This window comes from Homo sapiens, chromosome 1 (assembly GCF_000001405.40).
Source record: "Homo sapiens chromosome 1, GRCh38.p14 Primary Assembly".
Lineage (NCBI taxonomy): Eukaryota > Metazoa > Chordata > Mammalia > Primates > Hominidae > Homo > Homo sapiens.
In genome coordinates, this window is record NC_000001.11 from 180,181,411 (window position 1) to 180,207,291 (window position 25,881).

At 53.2% G+C, this 25,881-nt stretch overlaps 1 protein-coding gene across 3 annotated transcripts in view, besides 4 other annotated features; it reads left to right on the plus strand.

The window, feature by feature from the left end:
- The window catches only part of QSOX1 (quiescin sulfhydryl oxidase 1), a 49,162-nt gene extending 26,542 nt beyond the window's left edge, over nucleotides 1-22,620 (plus strand). The window contains exons 6-13 of one of the 3 annotated variants that reach the window (XM_047426230.1): nucleotides 764-909; nucleotides 2,506-2,640; nucleotides 4,643-4,772; nucleotides 8,142-8,264; nucleotides 9,023-9,170; nucleotides 12,803-12,982; nucleotides 14,852-15,480; nucleotides 15,923-16,624. In XM_047426230.1, coding sequence (XP_047282186.1) covers nucleotides 764-909; nucleotides 2,506-2,640; nucleotides 4,643-4,772; nucleotides 8,142-8,264; nucleotides 9,023-9,170; nucleotides 12,803-12,982; nucleotides 14,852-15,480; nucleotides 15,923-15,931 — 1,500 coding nt within the window. In that variant the 3' untranslated portion in view covers nucleotides 15,932-16,624. Of the gene's footprint in view, nucleotides 1-763; nucleotides 910-2,505; nucleotides 2,641-4,642; nucleotides 4,773-8,141; nucleotides 8,265-9,022; nucleotides 9,171-12,802; nucleotides 12,983-14,851 lie in introns of all 3 variants that reach the window. The other 2 variants (NM_001004128.3, NM_002826.5) reach the window with 2 other exon arrangements.
- Nucleotides 6,918-7,037: an enhancer, noted in NCBI's record as "active region_2160". NCBI's record gives its function as "activates an Ori minimal core promoter by ATAC-STARR-seq in GM12878 lymphoblastoid cells {active_cell/tissue: GM12878}" and the evidence as "EXISTENCE:reporter gene assay evidence [ECO:0000049][PMID:35858748]".
- Nucleotides 11,489-12,160: an enhancer, noted in NCBI's record as "H3K4me1 hESC enhancer chr1:180162034-180162705 (GRCh37/hg19 assembly coordinates)". NCBI's record gives its function as "activates a minimal SCP1, AML or CMV promoter by ChIP-STARR-seq in naive H9 embryonic stem cells {active_cell/tissue: H9 hESC(naive)}" and the evidence as "EXISTENCE:reporter gene assay evidence [ECO:0000049][PMID:30033119]".
- Nucleotides 12,462-12,631: an enhancer, noted in NCBI's record as "experimental_1382 CRE fragment used in MPRA reporter constructs". NCBI's record gives its function as "activates a minimal promoter by MPRAs in K562 erythroleukemia cells, with activity observed for the non-introgressed 1:180163092 variant allele {active_cell/tissue: K562}" and the evidence as "EXISTENCE:reporter gene assay evidence [ECO:0000049][PMID:34662402]".
- Nucleotides 14,530-14,699: an enhancer, noted in NCBI's record as "experimental_1383 CRE fragment used in MPRA reporter constructs". NCBI's record gives its function as "activates a minimal promoter by MPRAs in K562 erythroleukemia cells, with activity observed for both the introgressed and non-introgressed 1:180165160 variant alleles {active_cell/tissue: K562}" and the evidence as "EXISTENCE:reporter gene assay evidence [ECO:0000049][PMID:34662402]".
- Nucleotides 22,621-25,881: the final 3,261 nt, after the last annotated feature.

The following is a 25,881-nucleotide window of genomic DNA, read 5'->3' on the forward strand; positions in this document are numbered from 1 at the left end:
GAGAGCCCCACGTTAAGAAACGTTTTCAGATCTTCTTATAACTATACACATTGACCAAAGGGCCCCTCTGACTACTGCACATACTGGGCTCAGAGTTAGCCTGCTGTTTAGAAGTTTACCCAATTCCAAAGGTTTATTTTGTTTGTATCCTACCCATGAAATTTGTTACCATATGTATTTGAACGCAATAAAATCACAGTTCTTTAAACATCTGTGACTCAAGCTTCCATAAGGAAGACTGCTCTTGCCCCCAACAATTGATATTTCAAACAAACAATAATTAGTAATTTCTAAAGGGATCTTTTCCCTTTAGAAAAATGTTATGAGAAGGCCCTGGGGAATCCTGGACATCAGAGAGCAGTCTTGGGGTGTGAAGGTCTTAAAGACAAGAACGTGCTGGCTCAGTGCAAAAAACAAACGAGAATTAAAATGAAACCACATTTTATTGTGCTCTTTACAAATTGCTTTCATTAGAAAGAAAATGCTACCCAGTTGGGACTGTCGTAAGAAATTAAAGCGTGTGTGGCATGCACAGCTCCAAGGCCTCTCCTCCTGGGCAGTGATTGGCACTTGCTACCTACTGGTTAGCTGCTGTTGATGGCGAGTATCTCTTGCGCATCAGTGTGGTCCACTCTTTGTGGGTTTAGAGTCTGGAAGGAGCACAGCTGCCATCTGGGTGCCTTCACAGGTCACCGAGCTGGGACCCAGCCCTGGCTCCCTCCACCCGGTGGCCTGGCCCCCAGATGTTCTGCTGTCCCTGCAGGTGGCTCTGGACCTGTCCCAGCACAAAGGCGTGGCGGTGCGCAGGGTGCTGAACACAGAGGCCAATGTGGTGAGAAAGTTTGGTGTCACCGACTTCCCCTCTTGCTACCTGCTGTTCCGGAATGGCTCTGTCTCCCGAGTCCCCGTGTGAGTATCCTGTCTCCTGGCGTCCCCTCTCGTCCCTCCCTGTGCTCATCCTTCCTTCTTGCCCAGAGGGGCTGCCCGCCTTTCACAGTGGCCAACATGTTCTTTCTGAAGAGCCCCCTCAGGAGAAGCTGCAGTCTGCTGTCTGCGGGGCCAGCGCCTCCACCGTCAGGAGCCTGGGCCTGAAACGCTAACCCTGTTCCGCAGCTCAGAGACCTCAAAGGCCTCAGCCCCCCGCACCCAGTGTCGCCTGCACCCTCATTACGTCCCCACCACAGCCCTGGCCCTCTTCTCCACCCTCTTCTGTTCGCAGGCAGACTCATTGGCAGGCTACAGGCCTGGCAAGCACTCGTATATGCCTGACCCTCCCTCCCTTTGGTTTTCTAATTGCAGAAAAGTTCATTAGCAGCCAGACAATAGCCAGTTCCAAAATGCCGAGAGAAAACAATCAGGCCAGCCTCAGCCCCTCTGCCAGGCTCCTGCTGCTGAATGGCCCGTTAATGGCACCAGATGGTGCCTTGGTGCCCTCCCTGGGCAGATGATTGATGTCAGCCAGGCCCCGCAGGCAGGAGCATTGGGCCAGGGAGGCAAGGCTTGCCTGTGGTGCCTGGTGAGCTGCTCCTCGGGGCCCTCAGTGCCGACCCACACGGCGCCGGGCAGGGTGGCCACTTGGCCTCACCCTGGCCCAGATCACCTGCTAGAGGGCCCAGGAGGTGCGATGCCACCAAGGACAGGGAGGCACTCGCTTTCCGGGCAGGCCCAGAAAGTGCCAGTGATGGTGGGGAGAGAAGGCATTGTCTCCTCTCTCCGAGTTGGTGGAGGGGAAAATTGTTTGTGACGATGCTGCCTCCCGAGCCATCTGCTCACCGAGAAACCCAGGATGGTGGAGTGGAATGAAGCCGTGCGTCCCATGCCAGCTCCCCCGGGGCAGCCCTCACGCTGCTGCTGGACCCGGCGTCTCTCTCTGCAGGTGCCCTGGCTGTGGGTGAGAGGGAATATGCACTCAGGAGGTATCCCGTGCCCTGGAGGACTCCTCCCTGTCGGAAAAAAGAAAGAAACCAAAAAGACCGTAAAAAGATTTAGAGAATTCTGGAGGCTCTTTGTCATTGTTGCTACCTGTTTTTTGAAAAATCCCATATCAAACTCCCTGGACTTCTTAGGGGGTAATGTCACTTATAGTACCTCAGGGCGAGCTTATGGATGGGCAGCTGCCATATTGAATCTCGGGGTCCTTGGGGAAGGGAGTCACACTCCGCCGTTCCTGTCTGTGGGCACCGGGCTGTCCCGTGCCTTTCCATGCCCTGCCTGGAGCCAGAGGGCCACTGGGGGAATTCTTGGGCCCAATTGCCTTACCAGGTGAGGTTTGACATCAGGCTGGTGTCAGAGAGGCTTTCCAGAGCATGTGCAGTGATTAGAAGGGTTACAGCGAGGCCTGGGTGCCGTCTTCTGGCCTCACAGAGGACAAGATGGAATCTCGTTCACATATTTAATAAACCTTCCTGTCCGATGAGCCACCCTTCTTCCTCTTCTGACATTGGTTAGCTCTAATCTTGTTCTCTGCACTTACTGCCTCTCCTCCCTGGTTCTGTGCCCTCACAGGCTCATGGAATCCAGGTCCTTCTATACCGCTTACCTGCAGAGACTCTCTGGGCTCACCAGGGAGGCTGCCCAGACCACAGTTGCACCAACCACTGCTAACAAGATAGCTCCCACTGTTTGGAAATTGGCAGATCGGTAAGGCTACGCCTGGTTCTCCTCACTTCTTCTCCTTCCTCTGATCACAGACCACCACACCTTCACACCCACGCCCTCTTGCTCATTCTTCTTCCTTGTCATATGATTAGTGTGTACATTCTGAGCCAGGCTGTCCCCCACCCTGGGGTCTGGCCATGCTCAGGGACCTTCAATGTGTGGGAGCGGCATTTAGCTGCGGTGCCTCTGGTGTCTGTTGCGGGGCCGGGGCTGACTGGGGAATGAACACCTTCCATGCCCACGCTCCTTCAGCTTAACTCTGCTCACAAATGGGGAATCTGCGTGCAAGGACACTCTGAGGCCTCCAGACCAACTTCCCACCCAAGCAATTATTTGTGCAGTCAATATTTTTGAGTACTCACTATGTGCTAGGCACTGTGGCAGCAGATATGTACAGGCAGATGCATTCTCTGCTTGTGCAGACCCTACAGCATCCCTTCTAGGAAGGCACCCAACCTCACTTGAATGCCTGTGGTGTCAGTGAGTTCACTGCCTTTTCAGGTCACCTGTGTGTGTGTCCACAGTCGTAAGCATGAGAGAGCTGCTCTTCTCTCTGAGGCTCGTTGCCTTTTCTGTTGTGGTTGGGCAGTGAGACAGAGCTGTAGACCTCCTGCACTGGTACCAGCTGCATACCAGGTGGAAATGTCTGACCAGGGAGCTCAGAGCTGGCCAGGACGGTGCCCCTCACAAGGGGATGCACGAGACAGTGGGGGAAAGGTGATTGCAAGAAGGACTTTGCATCCTAGCATGAGGGACTTTAAGGGTGGAAAGTGCCAAATGGAGAGACTTTTAGTAGATCAAGGGAGAAGGAAAGAGAGAGTGAGGGGTGGTGTAATCATTATGATCATTCCGTCATTATGAATGATCATCATAATCATTCGATCATTACAGTTATGCAAACCATTGACGTTCTTGTAATAGCTTGGGCTGGTGTATGTGCCAGGCTCTGTGCTGGGCACCTTCCCTGTGTTACCTCATTCAGTCATGGGGCCACTTCTGGAGGCAGGGCACAGGAATGGAGAGGTAAACTGAGGCCCAAGGACAGCAAAGTGGAACACAGAGGAGACCTTGCCCTGAGGAGGAGCATAGGCAGCCACAATGCGTACCCCATTAGTTGACCTTATTGGCTCTTTCCAACCTCAGGAGGTTGTCATGGAGGGGTCAGGAGCAAGTCATGTGTTTTACAGGTGAGCTGACTGAGGCCCAGGAAAGTCAACTGAGTTGCCCAAGCTCACAAACTAGCTCACAGTCAAACTGAGGTCAGAACCCAGGTCTCAAGAGACAGGGGAAGAGGCACCCAACTTTCCTGGCCCCTGCCATCAGAACCCTGAGCCTGGACCCCAGCATGATGGGCCTGGGGCCAGCATGGAGCCTCCGGCCCTTCCATGAGGGCTGCGGAGAGGTGTGAGATGGGCCCACCTAAGATGTGAGGTCCGGCAGCTGTGAGCACATCAGCCCTGAAAGAAATACAGGCCCTGCTTCCCCTCCTGCCCCCAGTCGCCATTTCCCAGACTTGGTGGGCAGCTAAACCCTGGTCTTTCAGAGAGGGCCCAGTTTTTCCAGAGCCATGTCGTGTGTATGAACCTGCTGGTCTGATTATGTCTAGTGGTCTTGGCTCGGAGCTGGCCTGATTAGTGAGTTGCAGGAGGGGTGGCTGTGGGCCTGGAGAGAGAAAACTCCTACTCCCTGCCAGGAGCTGCTGAGAGTTTTTTACATTTGTGCTTTTATTTGATCCTCTCAGCAACTTACCTGTGAGCAATGTGTTATTCATATCTTACAGATGAGGAATTGAGGCTCAGAGAAATTAGGTAATTTACCCAAGGTCACACAGCACATTTCTGGCAGAAGCCAGTGGTAACTTACAAGACTCTGTGACCATCAGCAGTGCCCCTTCTCTTCTCTCCCTTTAGCCCTGGATGCTCCTTGCAGCCCCTGCACCATGGTTAATACTTCTTTCTCTCTCTATCTCCCTCTGGGTCCTCAGCTCCAAGATCTACATGGCTGACCTGGAATCTGCACTGCACTACATCCTGCGGATAGAAGTGGGCAGGTTCCCGGTCCTGGAAGGGCAGCGCCTGGTGGCCCTGAAAAAGTTTGTGGCAGTGCTGGCCAAGGTGAGCAGGGCCATGGCTTCCCTTGTCTGTGCAATTCTACGGATGGTCAGTGTGCGTTCCTGTAAGGCTGGGCACCCCGTCAGCCCCTCCCTCCAGAAGCCCATGGTCTGGCTGGACACCTGGACCCACAGCTCTCCCTGTCCACCATAGGTGATACCCTCCAGCCTCAGCCATACCCCACACCAGCCCCACACTGCCAGGGACAACCCTGCCCCATGCAGCAGTGTGGGTGGGACACAGGGCCCGTGCCCCCCACCTGGGGATATTTCCAGCTGATTCAGTGACTGTGGCTCTGCCTGCCTGAGTCCTCAGTCAGAGCCCCAGTGTGGCTTCCCACCCCTTTCTGTGGTCACTGGGAAAGCAGGACCCCTAGGACACCCTGGCGAAGGAGAGGATGCTCTTCTGATACTCCTTGCTTCCCTCCCAGTCTGACCCGATCCCTGGCCCTGGCCATGCCTTCCTTATTCCTTTATAGTTTCCCCGGGAAGGTGGCTACTCCACGAAGGGTAGCTCCTATTTATTGAGGACTTGATGTTTGTCTAGGATTTAATCCTTTTAACTACTCTGCGAGGTGGGTGGTTTATTTTGTCCTCCCCGATTTAAGAGGCCCAGGGAGCTCAAGTGCCATGCCTTCGTTCTGCCAGCCTGAAAGTGTTGTGGTCAGGCCTTGAGCCTGTGCTCCTTCCTCTCTGAAGGTGAGAGGTGGCTGCCATTCCCTCTCTGCGCCCTTCCCTTTGGTTCCAGATCCTGGCCATTGCGTCCCTGCTGGAAACCCTGGACTCTGCTGCTCAGTACTGCTGAGTCAGATGTGGCTCTGGGCGCTTCGGGTTTGGCCGCTGGCTCAGCCTCCCTTGGCCCTGGGGCCCGGATCTGAGCCCACCCTCCTCAGTGTGGGTCTGCAGGAAGCTGGGGCTGCCCTCGGGTGATTTGTGCCTCTCCTTGGGAACTTCCTGCCAGCCTGATCCCTCCTTCCCACCTCCCTGTCCTGGCCCCCTGGCTTGGTCACATGAATGCGTGGTGACACTGAGAGGGCCTGACAGGGACATTTCAGCCTAAGGCAGGACAGTCGTTGGCCCCTCACTGAAGTCCCATGCAAAATGAGCCCTTGTTCTTCAGTCCATTGCCATAATAGAGACCTTTCCTCCAAGGCTGAGAGCTGTTTGGTCCTCACAGTGCAGAGGCCTGGGGTTGACAACCTAGAGACTTAGAGGGGAAAAATCCAGAACTGACCCACGTACAGTCCCTCCTCCTGACCCATGAGGGAGAGCACCCAGCATGCTTTCCCGGCATGCCTCAGACACCCCACCACCCTAGTCCAGTACTCTCCAAAGGAGTCACCCCAGGAAGATCGGCTTGTGTGTCACTCGCATCTCTCAGCTGTGATCAAACCTGCTATTTTCTTTGTCCCCAGTGGGGCTGTTTGCAGCCGGTATGGGGGAAAAGAATGAGATACAGAAAAGTCCCTGAGCTGGGCAGAGGCATCACCCCCTCTGTGCCTGCTGAGTCTCTGCCTTCAGCAAGGGCTGGGAATGAGCTTGAGATGAAGGTGCCTGCCCTGCCAGAGCCAGGGCCCTCGGGGTAGGGCTGGCAGTGGGGTGGAGGACAGAGGGAAGCCAGGTATGCCCCGCAGTAGCAGCAGAGGCATCGGGGGCATGGGCCTGGAGACCCTCTGTTTGGGTTTTGCCCGCACATCCCCTGGGGTCTGTAGAGTATTCTGGCCCTTGCCTTGCTTGGGTAGCTTCTTCCTGAATAGTAGTATCCTAGCAGCTATCATTTCTTCAGCCCTGCCGGTGCCTGCAGTGTTCTTTGTATATTAGCTCCTCATTCTGTTTCTCAGAGAAGATTCCACAGCATGGCTTCTAGTATGATCTCCGTTTCATAGAAGGTGAAACAAAGCCCCAGAGAACTAAAGCACCTTGCCAGGGTCTTCCAGCTAGTGAGGGGCTGGGCAGGGAGCCACACCCACTCGCATCCAGCCCATGCCCATTACCACCAAGTGCATGGTGCTCACAGGCCCGAACCCCTAAGGGTGCCAGTGGACACTGCTGGCTCCCCCTGGCTAGCTGCCAGCCCTGCAGGTGCCCGGTCAGTCAGGAGGCCCTCTGCATGTCCTGCCGGTGCCTTCCCACCCGGCCTCTCCCAGCCTGTGCTCCCTCCTGTGAGCAGCTGGTAGGAGTGGCCACTGGGTGGCGTGTGGGCACCAGGGTTTCCTTGCTCCCAGTTGTCCAGAGCTCCTTAATTCATCCATCCTTCTGGCACTGTCGCCTTAGAAGGCGGAAGTTTCTAAGTCAGGATGATGGCAAAGGTCAGTGAGAAATGCTGACTTCAAGCTGTAAATTTGTGTGTGAGTTCCAGAGGCCCGTGTGGGCTCACCAGGAGGGCACGTGTCAAAGCGTGGTCTTTTCCGGCCATTTCTCACTCTGGGGGAAGGTGTCCAGCCCAACGTTTGATAGGAATATTTAATGGCTTTCTCAGAGGAATGGATCTGTTAGCAGGTTTTCCTGTTCAGTTACCATTCGTGTCTCCAGTATCCTTCTCCTCTCAAATGTTTGTCTTTGCTTTCTTTGCTGTGATTTTCTCAGGGTCCTCATCCCCTCGGCCAGCCTCTTTGTGGTTTTATCTGATCAGCCTGCTGCTGTGTCCCTCTTTCTCCTGCCCTCCGCCCCTTGTGCTGTGCACGTGCACACACGCACACACACACACATACACACATATGTCCTCCTCCCTGGAGTCCTTGTGGTTTTAAAGTGCTGATACTAATCGGATTTGAGTTGACTTATTGTCAGAGTAGCTTTTCATGCTCCTCAGATACCACTGGGAGTTACCATCAAGATCTGGATCTTGGCTGTGAGCCCCTGGCCTGGCTGGTCCTCACTGGCAGCCCATGGAATCCAAATGAAAGGTCTCGTGCCCACCTAACCCAGCTGGCCAGTCAGTTGGCAAGTCAGCTCTATCCGAGGACCACCCAAAGACAGGACTGTGTGGCCCAGGGCTCCCAGCAGCCCTGGCAAGGGGCACAAGTGCTCCAGCCTTCCTCCCAGTGGTGGCACATGGTCGGGGGGTGCTGCACAGGAGCCTGAGGTCTGAGAGAGGGAGACTTCCAGGACCCCACCCCATTTAGAGCGAGCACCTTCCCTACCCTGTCTTCTAGCCTTACCAGGTGTCCCAGAGCAAAGGTAGTACAGAAGTCATATTTGTGTCTTAGTTAGAATGTTTTCCTGGTGGTTTTGGAACTTTGCACAACCTCCTCCCCACTGCCCCCCGCCCCCCGCCCCCCGCCTTCTTCTGCATAGCTTCCTACCATCTGCAGGACGGGGAACTTGGGGAATTGCTTTTCACTCTCCAGCTTCCGCTTGTTCCTCCCCACAGTATTTCCCTGGCCGGCCCTTAGTCCAGAACTTCCTGCACTCCGTGAATGAATGGCTCAAGAGGCAGAAGAGAAATAAAATTCCCTACAGTTTCTTTAAAACTGCCCTGGACGACAGGAAAGAGGTGAGTCTGGGAAGCAAATAAAGATCTCTCCATCCTCCGTATTTATGAGAGTGCAAGGGGTTAACCCTGTCATTTCTGACCTTCTTCGCCAGTTTGCACCAGGGAGTCAGTGATCTTCGTTGGGTCCTAACAATAATCAATAAATGACTATTGATTGAGCTCTCTATGCGCACATCTCATTTAATCCTCATAATGTTAGTGGAAGGTAGATATTCTCCCCATTTAGCAGATGAAGAAACAGTACTTTGAAAAGGTTAAGCAACTTGTCTGGGTTCATGGAGCCAGTAAGTGTTTGGGCTGGGATGAAAACTTGGTGAGACCCCAGAGTTTTTAACAACTACCCTGTGCTGCCTCTTAGTTTGTGGTGCTGCTCAGCATGGCCTCCCTGGCCCTCTCCAGGGCACCTTCTGGGCTCCTGCTCATGCTGCTATTTGCAAAAGTGGGTCACTGCAGCCAGCAGAGGTGTAAAACCCTGTAGACTTGTAGGGTGTCAAATCTCGAAGGGACCTCAGAGATAACCCCCTTGTGTTACAGCTGGGGAAGTTGAGGCTGGAACGGGATGCAGCTTGATCTGGGTCACAGCTTTTTAGGTCTGCTGCTGCTTCAGTGGGTGGAACTGGTGAAAGGGAAATGCCACCTTCGAGGTGATAGACTGAGGGACCTCATTTGTCTTAGGGCTGTCTCCTAGAAGCTTCTGTCTCTGCCTCTCCCATCCTTTTCCTTCTCCATATGTGCACTCACACTCATGTGTCCCTCAGGGTGCCGTTCTTGCCAAGAAGGTGAACTGGATTGGCTGCCAGGGGAGTGAGCCGCATTTCCGGGGCTTTCCCTGCTCCCTGTGGGTCCTCTTCCACTTCTTGACTGTGCAGGCAGCTCGGCAAAATGTAGACCACTCACAGGAAGCAGGTACGTCCAGGACCCGTTCACCCCACTGTGCCTCCAACCCTGCTCTGTTCGGCCCTCCAAGGGGAGAGGGGGCAGGGAAGCTCCCTTGAATTGCCCCACTGGCTCCCAGCTGCCAGAAGATGGGGAGAGTCAGCCTTGGGGCTCTGGCTGGATTGCTCTATCTGCAGGTAGCCCCACACGGCCAGAATAGAACCAATCCCAGGAGGGAGCAGACTTTAGGAATTCAACCAGTCCTGTTTTCGGCCCCGGGAGCTCTGGGGCTGAGGCTTCTCCCTGTCTTTCTCCGGGCTTATAGTTTGCTTTGCTTTCAGTCTTCATGAAAAAATTGTGATTCTATTTTTTTATACTCTTAACAAAGAAAAAAACGTGTATTTTACAGTTTACATAGCTGATACATAGCAGGTGCTTTGAGCAATTTTATTGCACTTCCCACTGAAAAACAATTTCCTGGGGGAAGTTGGGGAAACACGTTTCCCCTGCTGCCTCGGATTGTCCACAAACTGCACCACCATGTTCTCCGGCCACGCTGCCCCACACCTGCTTTTGAAGACTGAAAGGATGCGCATCCAATTCAGTCCACACTGATTGAGGAACCAGGTTTATACCAGGCTGCGGCTTGGCTTGGAGGATAGATACATGGGTGAAAAGGGCGACAGTGCCCGCTCTTGGTGGACCTCTAGTGTGAGGCAGGGGGACAGAGAGGCCTGCAGTGCATCAGGGCTAGGGCCGTGGTGGAGAGAAAGATGTGGGGTGAAGAGAGGGCAGGCTCGACGCCATTGGGAAGGGGCCCGAGGCCTTACGGGGTGAGTTGAGGGGTGATGGGTGAGTAGGGATTCCGCCAGGAGAGGAGCATCCCAGCAGAGGGAGCAGCCTGTGTGGAGCCCCGTGAATCAGAGGAACTGCCAGGCAGTGGTGTGGGAAGCCAGTGTGTATGGAGCATCTCCACCATGCCATGTGGCGCTGCAGGTGCCGGGGACACAGCAGCATATGAGACAGGTCCCTGCCCCCACAGGGCCAGTATCTGAGTGGCAGGAGACAGACACAGAGGGATGGCTTCAGCCATGATGACGAATGCTGAGGAAGACAAAGCAAAGCAGTGCCGGAGCGGGTGCTGTCTGGAGAGGGGTCTGGGAAAGGCTTCCCTGTGGAGGGCCCGGTGCTGGGACCCATGTGGAGAGGAGAAGGCAGTGTGGGACGTCTGGGAAGAGAGTCTCCCAGGCTGTGTTGGTGTCCTTGGGCTGCACTCACAAATGTCAGGCTGGGGCTCAGCCAGTAGACGTCTGTTGTCTGAGTTCTGGAGGCTGAAGTGCAAGGTGGAGGTGTCTGTGCTGGTTTCTTCGAGCCTCTCCTTGGCTGGGCGGTGGTCGTCTTCTCCTTGTGTCTCCGTGCAGTTGTCCCTCTCCCAATCCATGTCCAAATTTCCTCTTCCTGCAAGGACACCAGTCCTATTGGATTAGGGCCCACCCTAATGACCTTATTTTACCTTCATTACCTCTTTAAAGACCCTGTCTCCAAATACGGCCACATTCTGAGAGGCTGGGGATTAGGGCTTCAACATAGGAATTTGGGGGGACATAATTCAGCCCATAGCACAGGCTGGAGACCAGCAGGTGCAAAGGACAAGCCTGGTGTGTGGGCAGCACTGAAAGAAGGCTGCTGTGGCCGGAGGGAGGGAGGTGAGGCTGCAGAGACAGGCCGGGGGCGGAGGTGAGCGCTCATGGGCTCAGAGGCCTTGGCGAGGGCAGGGTTTGGAGGTTGGTGTTGGCATTTTGAGAAGCCACTGGAGAGGCTAACGGAAGTGACAGTTGGTTAACACTTTAGAAAGGTGGAGGATGGGCTACTGCAGGCAGGGGGAGGCAGGGCAGCTGAGGAGCAAGCTGCATGCTCGCCCAGCAGTGGTGGTTGGGCCTGGACTAGGGTTGTCAGTGTGCCCCTGGAGGAAGTGGTCAGATTTGGGGATATGTTAAAGGCAGAGCTGAGGGACTTACTGATAGATTGGAGGAAGGGTATGTGGGAAGCAGGACTCGGGTGGACTCCAGGGTTGTGGGGCCTGAGCCTCTGGTGGATGATGGTCCCATAAGCTGAGGAGTCAGGGGCTCGGGTTGGGATGGTGGAATCAATGGCCCGCTTTGTGTCAATAGACCTCCCAATGGAGGTGTGCACAGTTGAGTCTGGAGTTCCAGGGAGAGGTGGGGAATAGAGAGATTAGCTTTATAGTCATTAGTAGCATCAGAGCTCAAGCTGTGGGACTGGATGAGCTCCCTGGCAGGGAGGTAGAGAAGAGTGCTGAGGACTGAATCCTGAGCATCAAACCACCAGCAAAGGAGGCTGAACGGGGGAGGCCATGGTGATTTCAAGGGGGCCCCAGAGTCCAGTGTTTCAAGATAGAGGTGTAGTCACTGGGGCCAGTGCAGCTGGAGGTGGCGCAAGATGAGGACATCTCTAGCAAGGGCTGTGTCGGTGGAGTAGTGGAGGTAATGGCCTTGTTGGATTCGGCTGAAGAGAGACCAGGAGGCAAGATTCTGGAGATAATGAGCAGGAACTGGGGCATGACTGGGTTAGAGGGAACTTCTTTATGATCATCCTTTTCCCCAGTTGGAATGATCCCTTATCAGGGGATAAATGGATGACGCAGTAAAGAAAAAACACTAACGGGAGTGAAATCCTGGAGGTGAGGAGTGGGGTAACCCGAGCAGCAGCGGAGACAGAGGCTGAGCAACGCCAGGGCCGTGTGGTGAGGCCTTGTGGTGGGGAGGTGGGCACCTGTGCTGGGTGCAGAAGAACAAGCTGAGAAGGCAGAGGAGAGAGAGAGAGGCAGGTGTGGGCTGCTGCGGGTCTCACCTTGCCAGGAGTGAGGAGAGTAGGGTGCCAACGTCCTGCTGCGTGGAGGGGTAAAAGCAGGAGATTGGCTTCTAAAGGCCTGGGAGGTTTGCGGTAGGAAGGAGCGAGCTTGGAGGCAAGCACCAGCAGCCCTGGAGCCTGAGGGTGAAGGGCTTAGGAGGGGCGTGTTGGATTAGGAGTGGTGTCCTCAGCGGGGAGCCTGGTTTCAGTTAGAGCAAGAAAGTGGGGCTGGTTAACAGGTCTTTGCTGATGCCAGTCCAGAGGGTCCAGTGGGTGGGAGGGGGTGGGGGGAATGGAAGGGGAGAGCGAGGAGAGATGGAGACAGATTAGGAAGGGCATGTGCAGGCCAGGTCCAGGCCCGAGGGAGGTGACGCATGGTGGAAGCAAGTCGGACAGGCAGCATGAGTGGGCAGGGGAGGAAGGGCCAGGGGCTAGGGCGGTGGCCCTCTGGCCCCTGCTGACCTCTCTCACCATGTCACAAAGAGCCTGAGTTTCCTGCCAAGGAGTGTGGACTTTGTCCTGGGTGTGAGTGACAGGCACCCAGGTTAGTGGCAGGGAAGGGGATCCAGGTTTAGGAGTTTTGGGGGGATGGGGTCTCCTGTAAAGTGACCATGGCAGGTAGAGAAGTAGACAAGGGGACACTGGGCCTCTGCTGGCATAGGCTGGGGTGTGTGGCACCTGTGCAGGGGTGGCCACGGCAGGATGGGGGGCGGCAGGGTGGCCTGGGGAGGCAACGGCTGTGGGGCTGGCAGCCTGAAGGGCTGGTGCGTGGCATCTCCTCTGCCCTGTAGCCAAGGCCAAGGAGGTCCTCCCAGCCATCCGAGGCTACGTGCACTACTTCTTCGGCTGCCGAGACTGCGCTAGCCACTTCGAGCAGATGGCTGCTGCCTCCATGCACCGGGTGGGGAGTCCCAACGCCGCTGTCCTCTGGCTCTGGTCTAGCCACAACAGGGTCAATGCTCGCCTTGCAGGTAAGGAAGGACCATCCCCAAGGCTGGAGTCACTTGTGGGGGACGAGGGGGTGAGGATACTTGGGAGTCTTAGGCCAAAATTTGGGGAAGGGACACTCATTGTCCCCTCAGTCACAGCCCAGGCCTGTTAACCAATGCCAGTATCATCAGCCCCATTTTTGACATGAGGAAGCCAAGGCTTTGACACTGTAAGACCCTGGTCTTCCCATGCCGTTGCTCACTTTTTCCCTGCTCTAGGGCCCCTCTCTAGCCTACTGGGGTCCCTCTCCCGCCTCCCCTGCTCCGTCTTCTGGCTGTTGGCCCCTTACTCAAACTGCTAGGGCAGAGGGAGCTGGGGTTCTCTCTCCCTGGGAAGGGTCTGATGAGAGAAGGGGCTGGAGGAGACCAGGTCGTTCCTGGAAATACCAGGCACCGGCTCCCAGGAGGGAGCCTTGCCCTCTGCGTTCCCTCATTATGGTGCTTCCTTTTCCTCATCAGGAGTCTGATGGCTCTAACAGGCAAACACATTAAACTCCAGGGAGCTGGGTCGGGAGGGAGCCATCTGTGGACAGGAGGCGGTTTGTGTGTCGGGAGGGAGCGGTGCACGTGGCTGTGACAGCCTCCCGGGGGGGGGAGACCAGGGCGGAGCCGAGGTTAAAGGAGCTGAATGGAGCAGGTGGTGGTGCAGGCGCCTGCACTTGGTCGTGGTCTCCTGGGGCCTCCTATCGAACTTTGAAAGGAAGACATGTGCCTGTCTTCTCCTTCCCCCACCCCGCCCCTGCCACCAAATGCTCCATTTGACCCTTCAGCCCCTTGACCTCGGCAGGCTCCCAGCTGCTGCTGGAGGGCCAGGAGCCTGGGCCTGTCCCTGAGAGGCCAGAAGCAGGGTGGTTCCCTCCCCTCTCTGGTGGGGTCCTTTCAGAAGAAACTCAAAATTACCAGGCACAAGCTGAGAGCCCCCTCCACAAGGCCTGATCACTATGACTCATGACTGGACCCTTGACTCTGCTTGTTGTCCCCTCCCCAAAGTAACCATTCTGACTTGCATGCCACTTGCTGTTGCTGCTCCTGCTTCCTTGTAGTCAACAACTTGTCCCCCTATTAAAACCTTTAGGAGAAGTGCTTCTACAGAAGGGATGGGCTGATGCATTCCCTGGGCAACACTGCGTGAGGGGCTGGTGGCCGTGGCTCACCCTCTGGGACTCATCCAGAGGCTGCCTAGAGGGCTGGGCCCACCTGGGGTACCAACAGCCTGCAGCCCCAGCAGCATCCTGACTCTTCCAAGTACCCCTCAGGTCTCCCCCCAACTATCCCTTGGAGCCCACCCCTACCCCAGAGGGCTGCTGCTGGGTAAAAGCAAGGATTGCCATGAGCAGCTGCCTCTTGCTTGAAAACGCATTTTCCCTTGAATTGACAAAGTAACCTATTTGTGCAGTTTGTATAATTTGGAAAATGTCAGAAAAATGCAAAAAAAGACAAACACGAGCAGACCGACCAAAGACTGCAAAACAGATCAAAATGAGTATTCTTGCCCTTTCCCATGTCTGGTACTGGGGTAAAGGCTGGTTGTAAAGTCCACATAGCAGGACAGTGGGTCTGGCCAACACCGGGAAATGACTGAGATGGCGCTCTTCACGCTTCCCTGGAAAACCACGGAGGGCCGGGGCTGAGGGGTAGGTGGATCTGCCTCCTCCTCCATGCTGCCATCTGTTGAGCTCCCACTGTGGGCTAGTGTTTGTAATCTGTATTTTCTAATTACCCATCCTCTGGAAGGGCAGTGGCGAGCCCTTTCTGCAGACAAGGAAGCTGGCGTTCTGAGTGGAGGAGTGTGGTCTGGGTTTTTGGGTGGGACTGATGTCACCACCAGCCTGTGTATGCTTCCCTCTGTAGGTGCCCCCAGCGAGGACCCCCAGTTCCCCAAGGTGCAGTGGCCACCCCGTGAACTTTGTTCTGCCTGCCACAATGAACGCCTGGATGTGCCCGTGTGGGACGTGGAAGCCACCCTCAACTTCCTCAAGGCCCACTTCTCCCCAAGCAACATCATCCTGGACTTCCCTGCAGCTGGGTCAGCTGCCCGGAGGGATGTGCAGAATGTGGCAGCCGCCCCAGAGCTGGCGATGGGAGCCCTGGAGCTGGAAAGCCGGAATTCAACTCTGGACCCTGGGAAGCCTGAGATGATGAAGTCCCCCACAAACACCACCCCACATGTGCCGGCTGAGGGACCTGAGGCAAGTCGACCCCCGAAGCTGCACCCTGGCCTCAGAGCTGCACCAGGCCAGGAGCCTCCTGAGCACATGGCAGAGCTTCAGAGGAATGAGCAGGAGCAGCCGCTTGGGCAGTGGCACTTGAGCAAGCGAGACACAGGGGCTGCATTGCTGGCTGAGTCCAGGGCTGAGAAGAACCGCCTCTGGGGCCCTTTGGAGGTCAGGCGCGTGGGCCGCAGCTCCAAGCAGCTGGTCGACATCCCTGAGGGCCAGCTGGAGGCCCGAGCTGGACGGGGCCGAGGCCAGTGGCTGCAGGTGCTGGGAGGGGGCTTCTCTTACCTGGACATCAGCCTCTGTGTGGGGCTCTATTCCCTGTCCTTCATGGGCCTGCTGGCCATGTACACCTACTTCCAGGCCAAGATAAGGGCCCTGAAGGGCCATGCTGGCCACCCTGCAGCCTGAACCACCTGGGGAGGAGGCGGGAGAGGGAGCTGCCATCTCTAGGCACCTCAAGCCCCCTGACCCCATTCCCTCCCCTCCCACCCCTTGCTCCTTGTCTGGCCTAGAAGTGTGGGAAATTCAGGAAAACGAGTTGCTCCAGTGAAGCTTCTTGGGGTTGCTAGGACAGAGAGCTCCTTTGACACAAAAGACAGGAGCAGGGTCCAGGTTCCCCTGCTGTGCAGGGAGGGCAGCCCCGGGCAGTGGGCATAGGGCAGCTCAGTCCCTGGCCTCTTAGCACCACATTCCTGTTTTTCAGCTTATTTGAAGTCCTGCCTCATTCTCACTGGAGCCTCAGTCTCTCCTGCTTGGTCTTGGCCCTCAACTGGGGCAAGTGAAGCCAGAGGAGGGTCCCCCAGCTGGGTGGGCTGGAATGGAACTCCTCACTAGCTGCTGGGGCTCCGCCCACCCTGCTCCCTTCCGGACAATGAAGAAGCCTTTGCACCCTGGGAGGAAGGACCACCCCGGGCCCTCTATGCCTGGCCAGCCTCCAGCTCCTCAGACCTCCTGGGTGGGGTTTGGCTTCAGGGTGGGGTTTGGAAGCTTCTGGAAGTCGTGCTGGTCTCCCAGGTGAGGCAAGCCATGGTTGCTGGGCTGTAGGGTGAGTGGCTTGCTTGGTGGGACCTGACGAGTTGGTGGCATGGGAAGGATGTGGGTCTCTAGTGCCTTGCCCTGGCTTAGCTGCAGGAGAAGATGGCTGCTTTCACTTCCCCCCATTGAGCTCTGCTCCCTCTGAGCCTGGTCTTTTGTCCTTTTTTATTTTGGTCTCCAAGATGAATGCTCATCTTTGGAGGGTGCCAGGTAGAAGCTAGGGAGGGGAGTGTCTTCTCTCTCCAGGTTTCACCTTCCAGTGTGCAGAAGTTAGAAGGGTCTGGCGGGGGCAGTGCCTTACACATGCTTGATTCCCACGCTACCCCCTGCCTTGGGAGGTGTGTGGAATAAATTATTTTTGTTAAGGCAAGCATTGGTGTGTTCTTTAACTTGCTACTTGGAGACCTAGTGTCCAGTCTGGACAGAATGCACAGAGACCAGCCTCACCTGGAATGCAGCCAGACTCGATGTCCCTCAGCACACACAGCTCCTGGCCACAGACTGCCCATAGAACTGTCTGCACCCAAACCCCATGGCCTTTTCATGCACGGAGACAGGCCTCTGGATGTGCAGCCTTGCCACCCCCTGCCCCAATCCTCCCTGAGAGCTCCTGCCTCAGTGCCCTGGGCTGGTGAGGGAGAAGCCTGTCTGCACCTGCCTAATTCCAGCTCCTCCAGGAAGCAAGGGCTTGTTTGTCAGAGCTGCAGGGTTGGCCACTCGGTGGGGAGGAGTCAGCCAGGATTAGAGAGCCTGCCCCTAATCCGGCCTGCTGGGTTTTACAAGGATCAGAGCTGCTGATAATGAACCTCATTAAGGGGGAGCAGGAGCCTCAATCCGATTTGGTTTTCTCTTTGACATCTTCACTCTGCTCAGATGGCCTGGGTGCTATGTGGAGCAGGTGGGATGCCAAGGCCACTCCTGCTATGGGGCAGCTGGGGCTGGGGAGGGATGGCAGTCTCCCTGCATGTTTCCCTCGACCTCTTTAGCTGCAGCGCCTTGCTGGGCTCCTGGGTTGGACTCCCTCTCTGTGCCCCTGCTCCAGGCACCCATTGGCTCCATCCTCCTGGTTGTGCTCTGCACCCCCTGCTCCCTTGGGCTGGCCCTGGCTGGGGGCCTGAGAGACAGACAGGAACCCACAATCAGGAGGCAACCCTGGCCTGCAAGAGGAAGACAGAGGCTCCCAGGGCCGGTGCCCTGTGTGCCCACTGCACCAAGGCCGCTGAATAAGCCTGCCCTTCACCCCCTAAGGGCTCCTTGCCCAATGCCAAGTGCTGGGGATTTCTGTCAGCAAGCCCTGTGGCTCCAGTGACGGTATTTCTAAAGCCAAACTTAGTTACCTAGAATTAGCGCCATGTTGGAAACACTGTCGCAGCAGCCCGGGCTGCACAGTGTGTAGCCCAGCCTCCAGGTCCACGGAGTGGTGTGGACCTCCCACCTCACAGCTGCCTCTGGCAGCCAAGCCTCTTTTCGCCCGGCCCCAGCCCCTCTGGTTGATAAACGGGTGGGCCTCCTCAGCAGCGTGGCTGCCTTTCACCTTGATTTCCCCAGGGCTCTCGGCAACATCGATAAACCAGCCTCGCCCACCAGCTGGGCCCTCCCCCACCCAGTCTGCCAGGCTGGGAGCTGGAGCTTGCTGAGTCTTGAATGCCCTTCTAGATGGCTTCTCTAGAGGCTCTCCTGGCAAGAGAGGGTCCCAAGGGGAGCCCTGCAAAGCAAAGGCTCCTTGTCTGGGGCGGGATAGAGAATCTCGCCTCTGTCTGGTGTGTTACCTACTGGGGGCACAGGAACAATTTCCTCAAGGAGACAGTGGCATGGAGCTTTGAAAGACGAGTAGGTGTTAGCAAGGAAATAAGGAGGAACGGGGGTTACGGGCAGAGGAGAAAGCACATGCCAAGTCAGCAAAGAAAAGTAGAATTCGAAAACTTTTTAAAAATATTACTAAGGATTTTCACAATGCTGCACTGGGCTAGAAACTGAAGCTAAAACAGATACGTGGTCCCTGCTGCTATGGGGCTTCCGTTCTAGAGGCAAGGACAGGTTGTGATGAGGGTTCTGAAGGATAGAGACCAAGCAGGGAGGGTGTTGAGGAGGCTTCTGCGAGACCTGAAGGATGGGAAGCCAGGAAGTGGGAGGGGTGGGGGTCCAGGCTGGAGGGGCCCAATGTAGGTGTAGAGGGACTACAGCCCTGAGGGGCTGCTCCATGCGGCATTCTTGGAGGTCCAAGAGGGGCAGCGCCACCTTGGGCCAGGCTCCTCTCCAGCAGCCTTGGTATGGGGTGGGGGTGGGAAGACCCCTGATGCAGCCTGTCCTCTGGGTGTGGGGGTGGAGGAGAGGGCTCCAGGGGACCCAGCCAGCCTTGACCCTGGAGGAAAGTCAGGTGGGCTCAGAGAGAGCCCTCAAATCTGGGCCCTGGGTCAGGGTGGGGTCAAGTCCAGCCTTGAAGAGAATGGACTCTGGAATCTGACGTCTGGGTTTGAATCCAGCTTCCAACACTCACTGGCTGTGTGACTTTGGGCAAGATAACTTATCCCCTTGTCCCCATGTGTCATTGGAGATAAACTACCCACCTACCAGATTGTTGTACCATGCTGGGCAAACACTAAGTGCTTAATAATGGTAGCCCACTGCTCATGTCGTGTCGTCTCCTGTCTTGATACCTGAAAACTCAAGGGGCCCTGTTGTGCTTGGAGGGGGGTGCCGTTCCCACAGGATATTCTGTGAAGGGTGTCCCTGGAGCTGGGCCTCCAGGTGGCAAGCCCCAAGCCACCCCGGCAGGTGCCACTGGCCAGAGTTGAACTGAGGTGTTGAGTGGAAAGTGCCTCCCCACCCCCATCTGCCACAGTAGTATGGATTTCCTTCATGAGATGGGGCTCCTAAAATGCCTGAAATGTGTATGCTGTTGGAGAATTGATGTGTATGATTTATTGAACTTTGCACTCATTTAAATCTCATTTAATCCTCCAACAACGCAAGATGAAGAAGCTGAGGCTTAAAGAGATTAAGAAACATCCTATCCCCTTTACTCCCACCAAAATAAATACATTTGCCCTATTCTCCCAAATGGTGAGAGGTAGATCCAGGACTTGACCCCAGATCCCACCCACTCAACCCTGGAGCTGCAGTCTCTACCCCTTCTAACACATGTGATTCTGTTTCATGTCCTGTTCCATCGGTAGAGTTACACACTTTCCTGAGACTTTATATGGTGGTGCTGCTGGGTGCCAGCCCTTCTTCCCTCCAACAGTGGCAGTAACCACTGTTGTGTGTTGGTGTCAAGGAGTGGGGACACCCTGAAGGAATCCGCCTTTTCTAGAGCTCTCGCTCCATTCCCTACATCGAGGCTGAAGTGCCCTGTCTCGGGTCCTTGTTTTTAGGCCTCGTTTGAAGGAGGGGAAGAAACCAGGTTCGTTGGGCGTGACCTTGGCTCAGCTCGTCTGTGAAATTGGGGCCGCAGACTTAGTTTGCGGGTCCCTGCTAAATTCCTCTCCCTCTTCCTGGGATTCCCATCCATGTATTGCCAGCTACATGTAGAGTGGAGAGGAGAGGTTTTTCCTGCAGGGCCTTCCAGAGAAAGGATTCTTGGCCAGAGGAAATCACAGCCTATAAGATCAATATCCTGATAGAATCCCGGGCCAGGTGTGAGAGGGGAGAGCTCACTCACACCAGCCTGACAGTCTTGGGGCAGAGCGCCCCATAGGCCTCTGCAGCCCCATCACTGCCTCATTCTCCCTCAGGTGCCAAGGAAGCTCCAGGGTGGGCCCAGTATCCTTCCACAGCATCCCTCCTCTTCCCCTTCAACACCCCTTTCACCCCTCCCTCCACCACCTCTGAAAGGTGCTCCTTGGGCAGGGCGATAGGATTCCCACCCCTAGCTTTAAGAACTAAACCAAACTTCAAGAGGAGCAATTTAATCTTCATACCTGACTCCTTGTCCCTCCTCAGGCATGCTGTTGTGCAGGACAGAGCCCTGGCTTCTCCTGGATGTCACACCTGGCCTGTCTCTGACCCTTGCTTTCCCTTTCTCTGCTGCCCTCAAGGGTCATTCACACCCAAGAGGGTAAGAAGCTGCCCTCTCATCCCTTCCTCTCCCACCCTGGGCCTCTGCCCTCTGCCTGGCCCCAGCAGCACAGTCTTCTCCATAGAGAGGGGCTGGGCCATGGGACCCCAGTTCCTGGGGTCTCGGTGACACAGTTCACTGTTTGCTGCAGAGGAGGCCCCACTCGCAGCCTTGGCCTCTGCCCTGCAGAAGAATTCCCTGTAACTCACTCACCAATGGCCGTGGGAGCCAGTGGCCTCGGCGAGGGTCAGTTGGACTGCATAGCTGCCGGCTGAGTCTCTCTGGCCACCCTCACTGGCCCCATCACTCCAGGTTGCACTGCTGCCCAGGGGGTTTGTGCCAGGCCTGGGTCACAGTGGAAGAGAGTCTGGAAATCACAAGGCAGAGGAGGAGACCTTTGCCAATGTGAGAGAACAAAGTTAAGGGGCAGTCCATGGGGGCATTGACCTTACTTAGGTGAGGAGGACTCAGGGAACATCTACAGACTCTAGGGCTAGGGTGAGATCCTCCTGATAGTGCTGGTAGCTCCAGCTGCTGCTTTGGCAAGACTTGGTCGTCTCTATACTGAGAGAGCAAAAGCTCTTTTCCTGGGGCTGCATGTTCTTCCATAGGAAAGTGGGCTTCAGGTGCTGCCTATTAAACCTCCTGCCTCCCCTGCTGCAGTGCTTTGATGCCTTTCACCTGTGTCTACCTGCGAACCTCTGCCCACCACGGAAGAGCAGCTCACATTTGGAAGGGGCTAAAATTTTTACCTAGTTTGAATCTGCTCTGCAATGTCCCCATCAAGTTCTTAACCATCCCGGGTTCCAATGGTTACAGAGTTCTGCCCTGGGGAGGGAGGAATTGCTTAGCAAATGATGTTGAGAATAGTGATTATTTGGGGGAAAATTCAGGTAAGATCTCACCTTCATACCATATACCAAAATACATCTCAGTAGATTAGTAAGCTAATGCAAAAAAAAAAAAAAAAGGGGAAATATAATTGAATACTTCACTGTTTTTGAAAGCATGAAAACAATGGAAAATGCAACTGATGTGAGTAATCCATCTACTTGACGTCACTTTTAAGAAATAAGGCCAGGCACGGTGGCTCACGCTTGTAATCCTAGCACTTTGGGAGGCCGAGGTGGGTGGATCACGAGGTCAGGAGTTTGAGACCAGCTTGGCCAACATGGTGAAACCCCCATCTCTACTAAAATATTACACAGGCATTGTGGCACACATCTGTAATCCCAGCTACTCAGGAGGCTGAGGCAGGAGAATCACTTGAACCTGGGAGGTGGAGGTTGCAGTGAGCTGAGATCGCGCCATTGCACTCCAGCCTGGGGGACAGAGCGAGACTCTGTCTCAAAAAAATAAAAAAATAAAAATAAAAAAATAAAGTAAAGCTACATATTTAAAAGCTGGGGAAATATATGCTGTAAATATGACAAAGGGCTGTGACTCTTCTGCAACACACCATTTTAAGAATGAGCTAGGTCTGCATTTATTGACCTGATAAAATGTCCCAAGAAGGACACATTTTTATAAACATAAGTTACTATTGTTATATATATGCTAACGTTTGTCTAGAAAAAGTCTAGAAAAATACACACTGAACTGTGAATAGCAGTTATATTTAGAAAGCAACATTAGGATGAACTTAAGTCAGGGCTTGGACTAGAGCAAGGCAAGTGAGGTGCCAGGATGCAAAAGTTAAGGAGACACCTGACCTCAGGGGCCCACAACTGCAGAGCCCCTGACAGTGAGTGTCTCAGTAGCCTCGCCCTAGTCCTGGCTTTCACTTAAATATGTTTTCGAATGTTTGTAATAAAATATTTCTTTTGGAAGGCAAAAATAGCAAGGAAAATAAATAGGATTAAAGGATACTAAAGCCCATTCAATAAAATTTGTAGGAGGCCACTGATTTGGCCTAGGCTCCTATGATGTAACCAACAGACCAAACCAATATGGAGTCATTCATGCTAAATGAAACTAGTTAGGAGTATATTCATATAACAAGTGGCTAAGTGTCAGTTACAGCCTCTGAGCTTTAGTCAATTGTAGGTGGTCAATAGATTCAGATAAGGCAATCCAGTTAAACTGTATATCCCACTTGCTGTTTTCTGTCCCTAAATTCTCTCTGAGTACACTGCAGCCCTGAAGTTCTTTGAACCTGTTCTGGGTTCTGAGGGCTGTCCAATTACTGAATCATACATAAAAGCCAAGTAAGATTTTAAAATTTGTTATAATTTTGGTTTTTAACAACTTCTGTTGTAAATAATAAAAGCACTAAATCCCTACTGAAAATAAAGGGCCTAAAGACTGAATGAGAGATGCAATTTTTTTTGGCTAACCTATTGGCAAAGAAATGATGATGATGATGATGATGATACCTAGTGTTGCTGGAGTGAGGGGAAATGAGATGTATCAGTTATCCATTGCTATGTGACAGCCACTCCCAGACTTAATGGTTTGAAACAACAGTCACTCATTTTGCTCATGAATTGGTAACATGATCAGAGCTCAGCAGAAAACAGCTCCTGGCTGCTCCGTGCAGGGTATCTAGGCACAGTTCATTTGGCAAGTTGGTGTTGGCTGCTGCCTGGAAGCTTAGCTGGGGCTGTGGGAGGGGCCTCCAGTCCTCTACCCATGGGCCTCTCCATGGGCTGCTCAGACTTCCTCACGGCATGGTGGCTGGGCCCTTCAGGGTGGCCTTTTCATGTGCTAGCCTCAGAAGCCACCTAGCATGACTTTTGCGATTTTCTGTTGGTTGAGGTTGATGTAACGGCTCGCCCAGGATGCAGATAGAAAGGCCTGAACAGGTTCAAGGGGAGGAACCTTGGGCTTCACCTTTGACGGGTGTGACAGAGTTCTGGAACACTGTGAGATGGAAGATACTGTTGCAGCCATCTTAAGAAACTACAATCTGCCCCCGCCCCAGTCCTCTCATATACTGCTAGTGGTAGTATAAACTGATACAAGTTTTGGGAAATAGATAATTCATAATGTAATGTAATTGGTAATATACTTTTAAAAGCCTTAAGAAAATATATAACCTTTAATCCAGCAATTCTATTTCTGGAATTTATCCTAAGGAAGTAATTGAGAATATTTAGTAAATATTTGCTACATGATAAATATTTATAGTATCAAAGTAAGATTAAACTAAAGTCCAAAATGGGATATTGAGTAAATTCTGGTACACAATTACAATGGAATACAATATAACATCTAAAAATGATTTGAGGGCTGGGTGTGTTGGCTCATGCCTGTAATCTCAGCACTTTGGGAGGCCAAGGTGAGAAGACTGCTTGAGCCCAGAAGCTCAAGGCTGCAATGACCGATGATCACTCCACTTCACAGAGCGAGACTCTGTCTCTAAACAATAACAAATAAATACAAATTATTTGAATGTATATATTTTTATCCTGAAATTATTTTCACACCACACTGTTAATGGAAAATATTGTTACAAAAACAGTTCTGTATAGTATGATCTTATTTTATTTATTTATTTTTTATTTATTTATTTTGAGACGGAGTCTCGCACTGTCACACAGGCTGTAGTGCAGTGGCGTGATCTCGGCTCACTGCAAGCTCCGCCTCCCAGGTTCTCGCCATTCTCCTACCTCAGCCTCCTGAGTAGCTGGGACTACAGGCGCCCGCCACCACGCCCGGCTAATTTTTGTATTTTTAGTAGAGACAGGGTTTTACCGTGTTAGCCAGGATGGTCTCAATCTCCTGATCTCGTGATCTGCCCGCCTCAGCCTCCCAAAGTGCTGAGATTACAGGCCTGAGCCACTGCACCCGGCCAATCTTATTTTTTAAAAAAGAAAATACATATATTTATGGATATTGAATGCATGGATGAAAACTAGGATAAAGACACCAAAACATTAATAGTGGTTAATGGTCCCTGGTGGGATTATGGCTGTTTGTTTTTCTTTTTATTTATCTGTATTTTCTCACCTTTATTAAATATTTATTAGTATATAATTAAACACTTTTAATGAGCCAAGAATATGAACCGTCAGCTTACAAAAGAAGATATACAAAGAGCAATACTTACGTGAAACAGTATTCTACTTGTTGAACAATAATCAAAGAGGTGAAAGATTAGTGCGATATCATTTTTATATAGTATGCAGCAGTACAGTTTGGTACTGGAAAGGTGATAATGCAATTATACTGTATAGTATATCTGAGAAATAATATGATGATATGTATCAACCTTAAAAAGTTTATGCCCATTGGTTCAGTTATTTTAGTGTTCAAAATCTATCCTAAGGAAATAATCAGAGATATTGACTAGAACTTGGAGCAATCTACAAATCCAATCAGAAGACATATCTACATGGGCCCAATTCCCAGGGCAAGAGTCAGCTGGGCCCCCTTCCTCACCCAGGGCCATAGTCCGCATCTCTCCCTTTTGCTTCCCAATACGAAGGCCAAGGGGCAATTACCATTTATCATCACATTTGTGCTGTTGATTTGGAAGAGGGAAATATTTCCCTGCACTGTGTCTCTAACTGCATTTTTTTTTTTTGGCTTGTTTCCTTTAGGCAGGTTCTTGCTCTGTTGCCCAGGCTGGAGTGCAGTGACACAAACACAGTTCACTGCAGCCTCAACCTCCCAGGTTCAAGCACTCCTCCCACCTCAGCCTTCAGAGTAGCTGGGACCACAGGTGTGTGCCACCACACTAGGCTAATTTTTTTTATTTTTTGGAGAGATGGGGGTCTCCCTGTGTTGCCCAGGCTGTTCTTGAACTCCTGGGCTCAAGCAGTCCTCCCACCTAAGCCTCCCAGAGTGCTGGGATGGGCCATATTTTAAGAAAAATGGAAAAAAGCATTATCTATATAGAAGTGAAGCATGTTGCTATGTATTTGGTATTTAGGAAGAGAACATCTATGCCTAAGAATGGACCTTTACTTCACTCATTTACCTCAGGGGCCTGACCTATAGCCATTTGAGTTGTGACTCTTATTTTAGACTCAGCTGATACATCACTCCCTCTGGCAAGCCCTGGGCCTCCCAAGCCTGAGCCAGGTACCCCTCTTCAAGCTGCGGGAGCACCCTTGGCTGCCTTCATGGGAGTGCTTAGCACACTGCAGCGTGGCTACCTGGCTGTTGTCTCCTCCACCTCCTCTAAGCTTCACCAGGGCTGGACAGTCTTCTCTCTCACTGCAGCCCCTGAGCTTAACATGGGCCCTCGCACATAATAGAGGTTCAATAAATATCTCTTCAGTGAACAGAATTCTACATTCTAGGATGCAGATCTCTCAAAACTCATCATTCATCTTTATACCCCTTCAGTGCTATGCACGGAGCTCTGAGCATCAGAGATGATTATTAAGGTTAAATGAGTGAATAACAAATTATTAGGAAGCAGCTACCATCGTGGAAAAAGAATGATTTCAGGGTCAAGGAAACTGAGGTTCAAATCCTGATACTTGTCATGGAACTTTGGGCACTGGCTTTTCTGAAGCTGAGTTTCCTTCATCTGTAAAGAAGATAATGTAGCTGGGCTGTGGCTCATGCCTGTAATCTCAACACTTTGGGAGGCCAAGGCAGGCGGATCACTTGAGCCC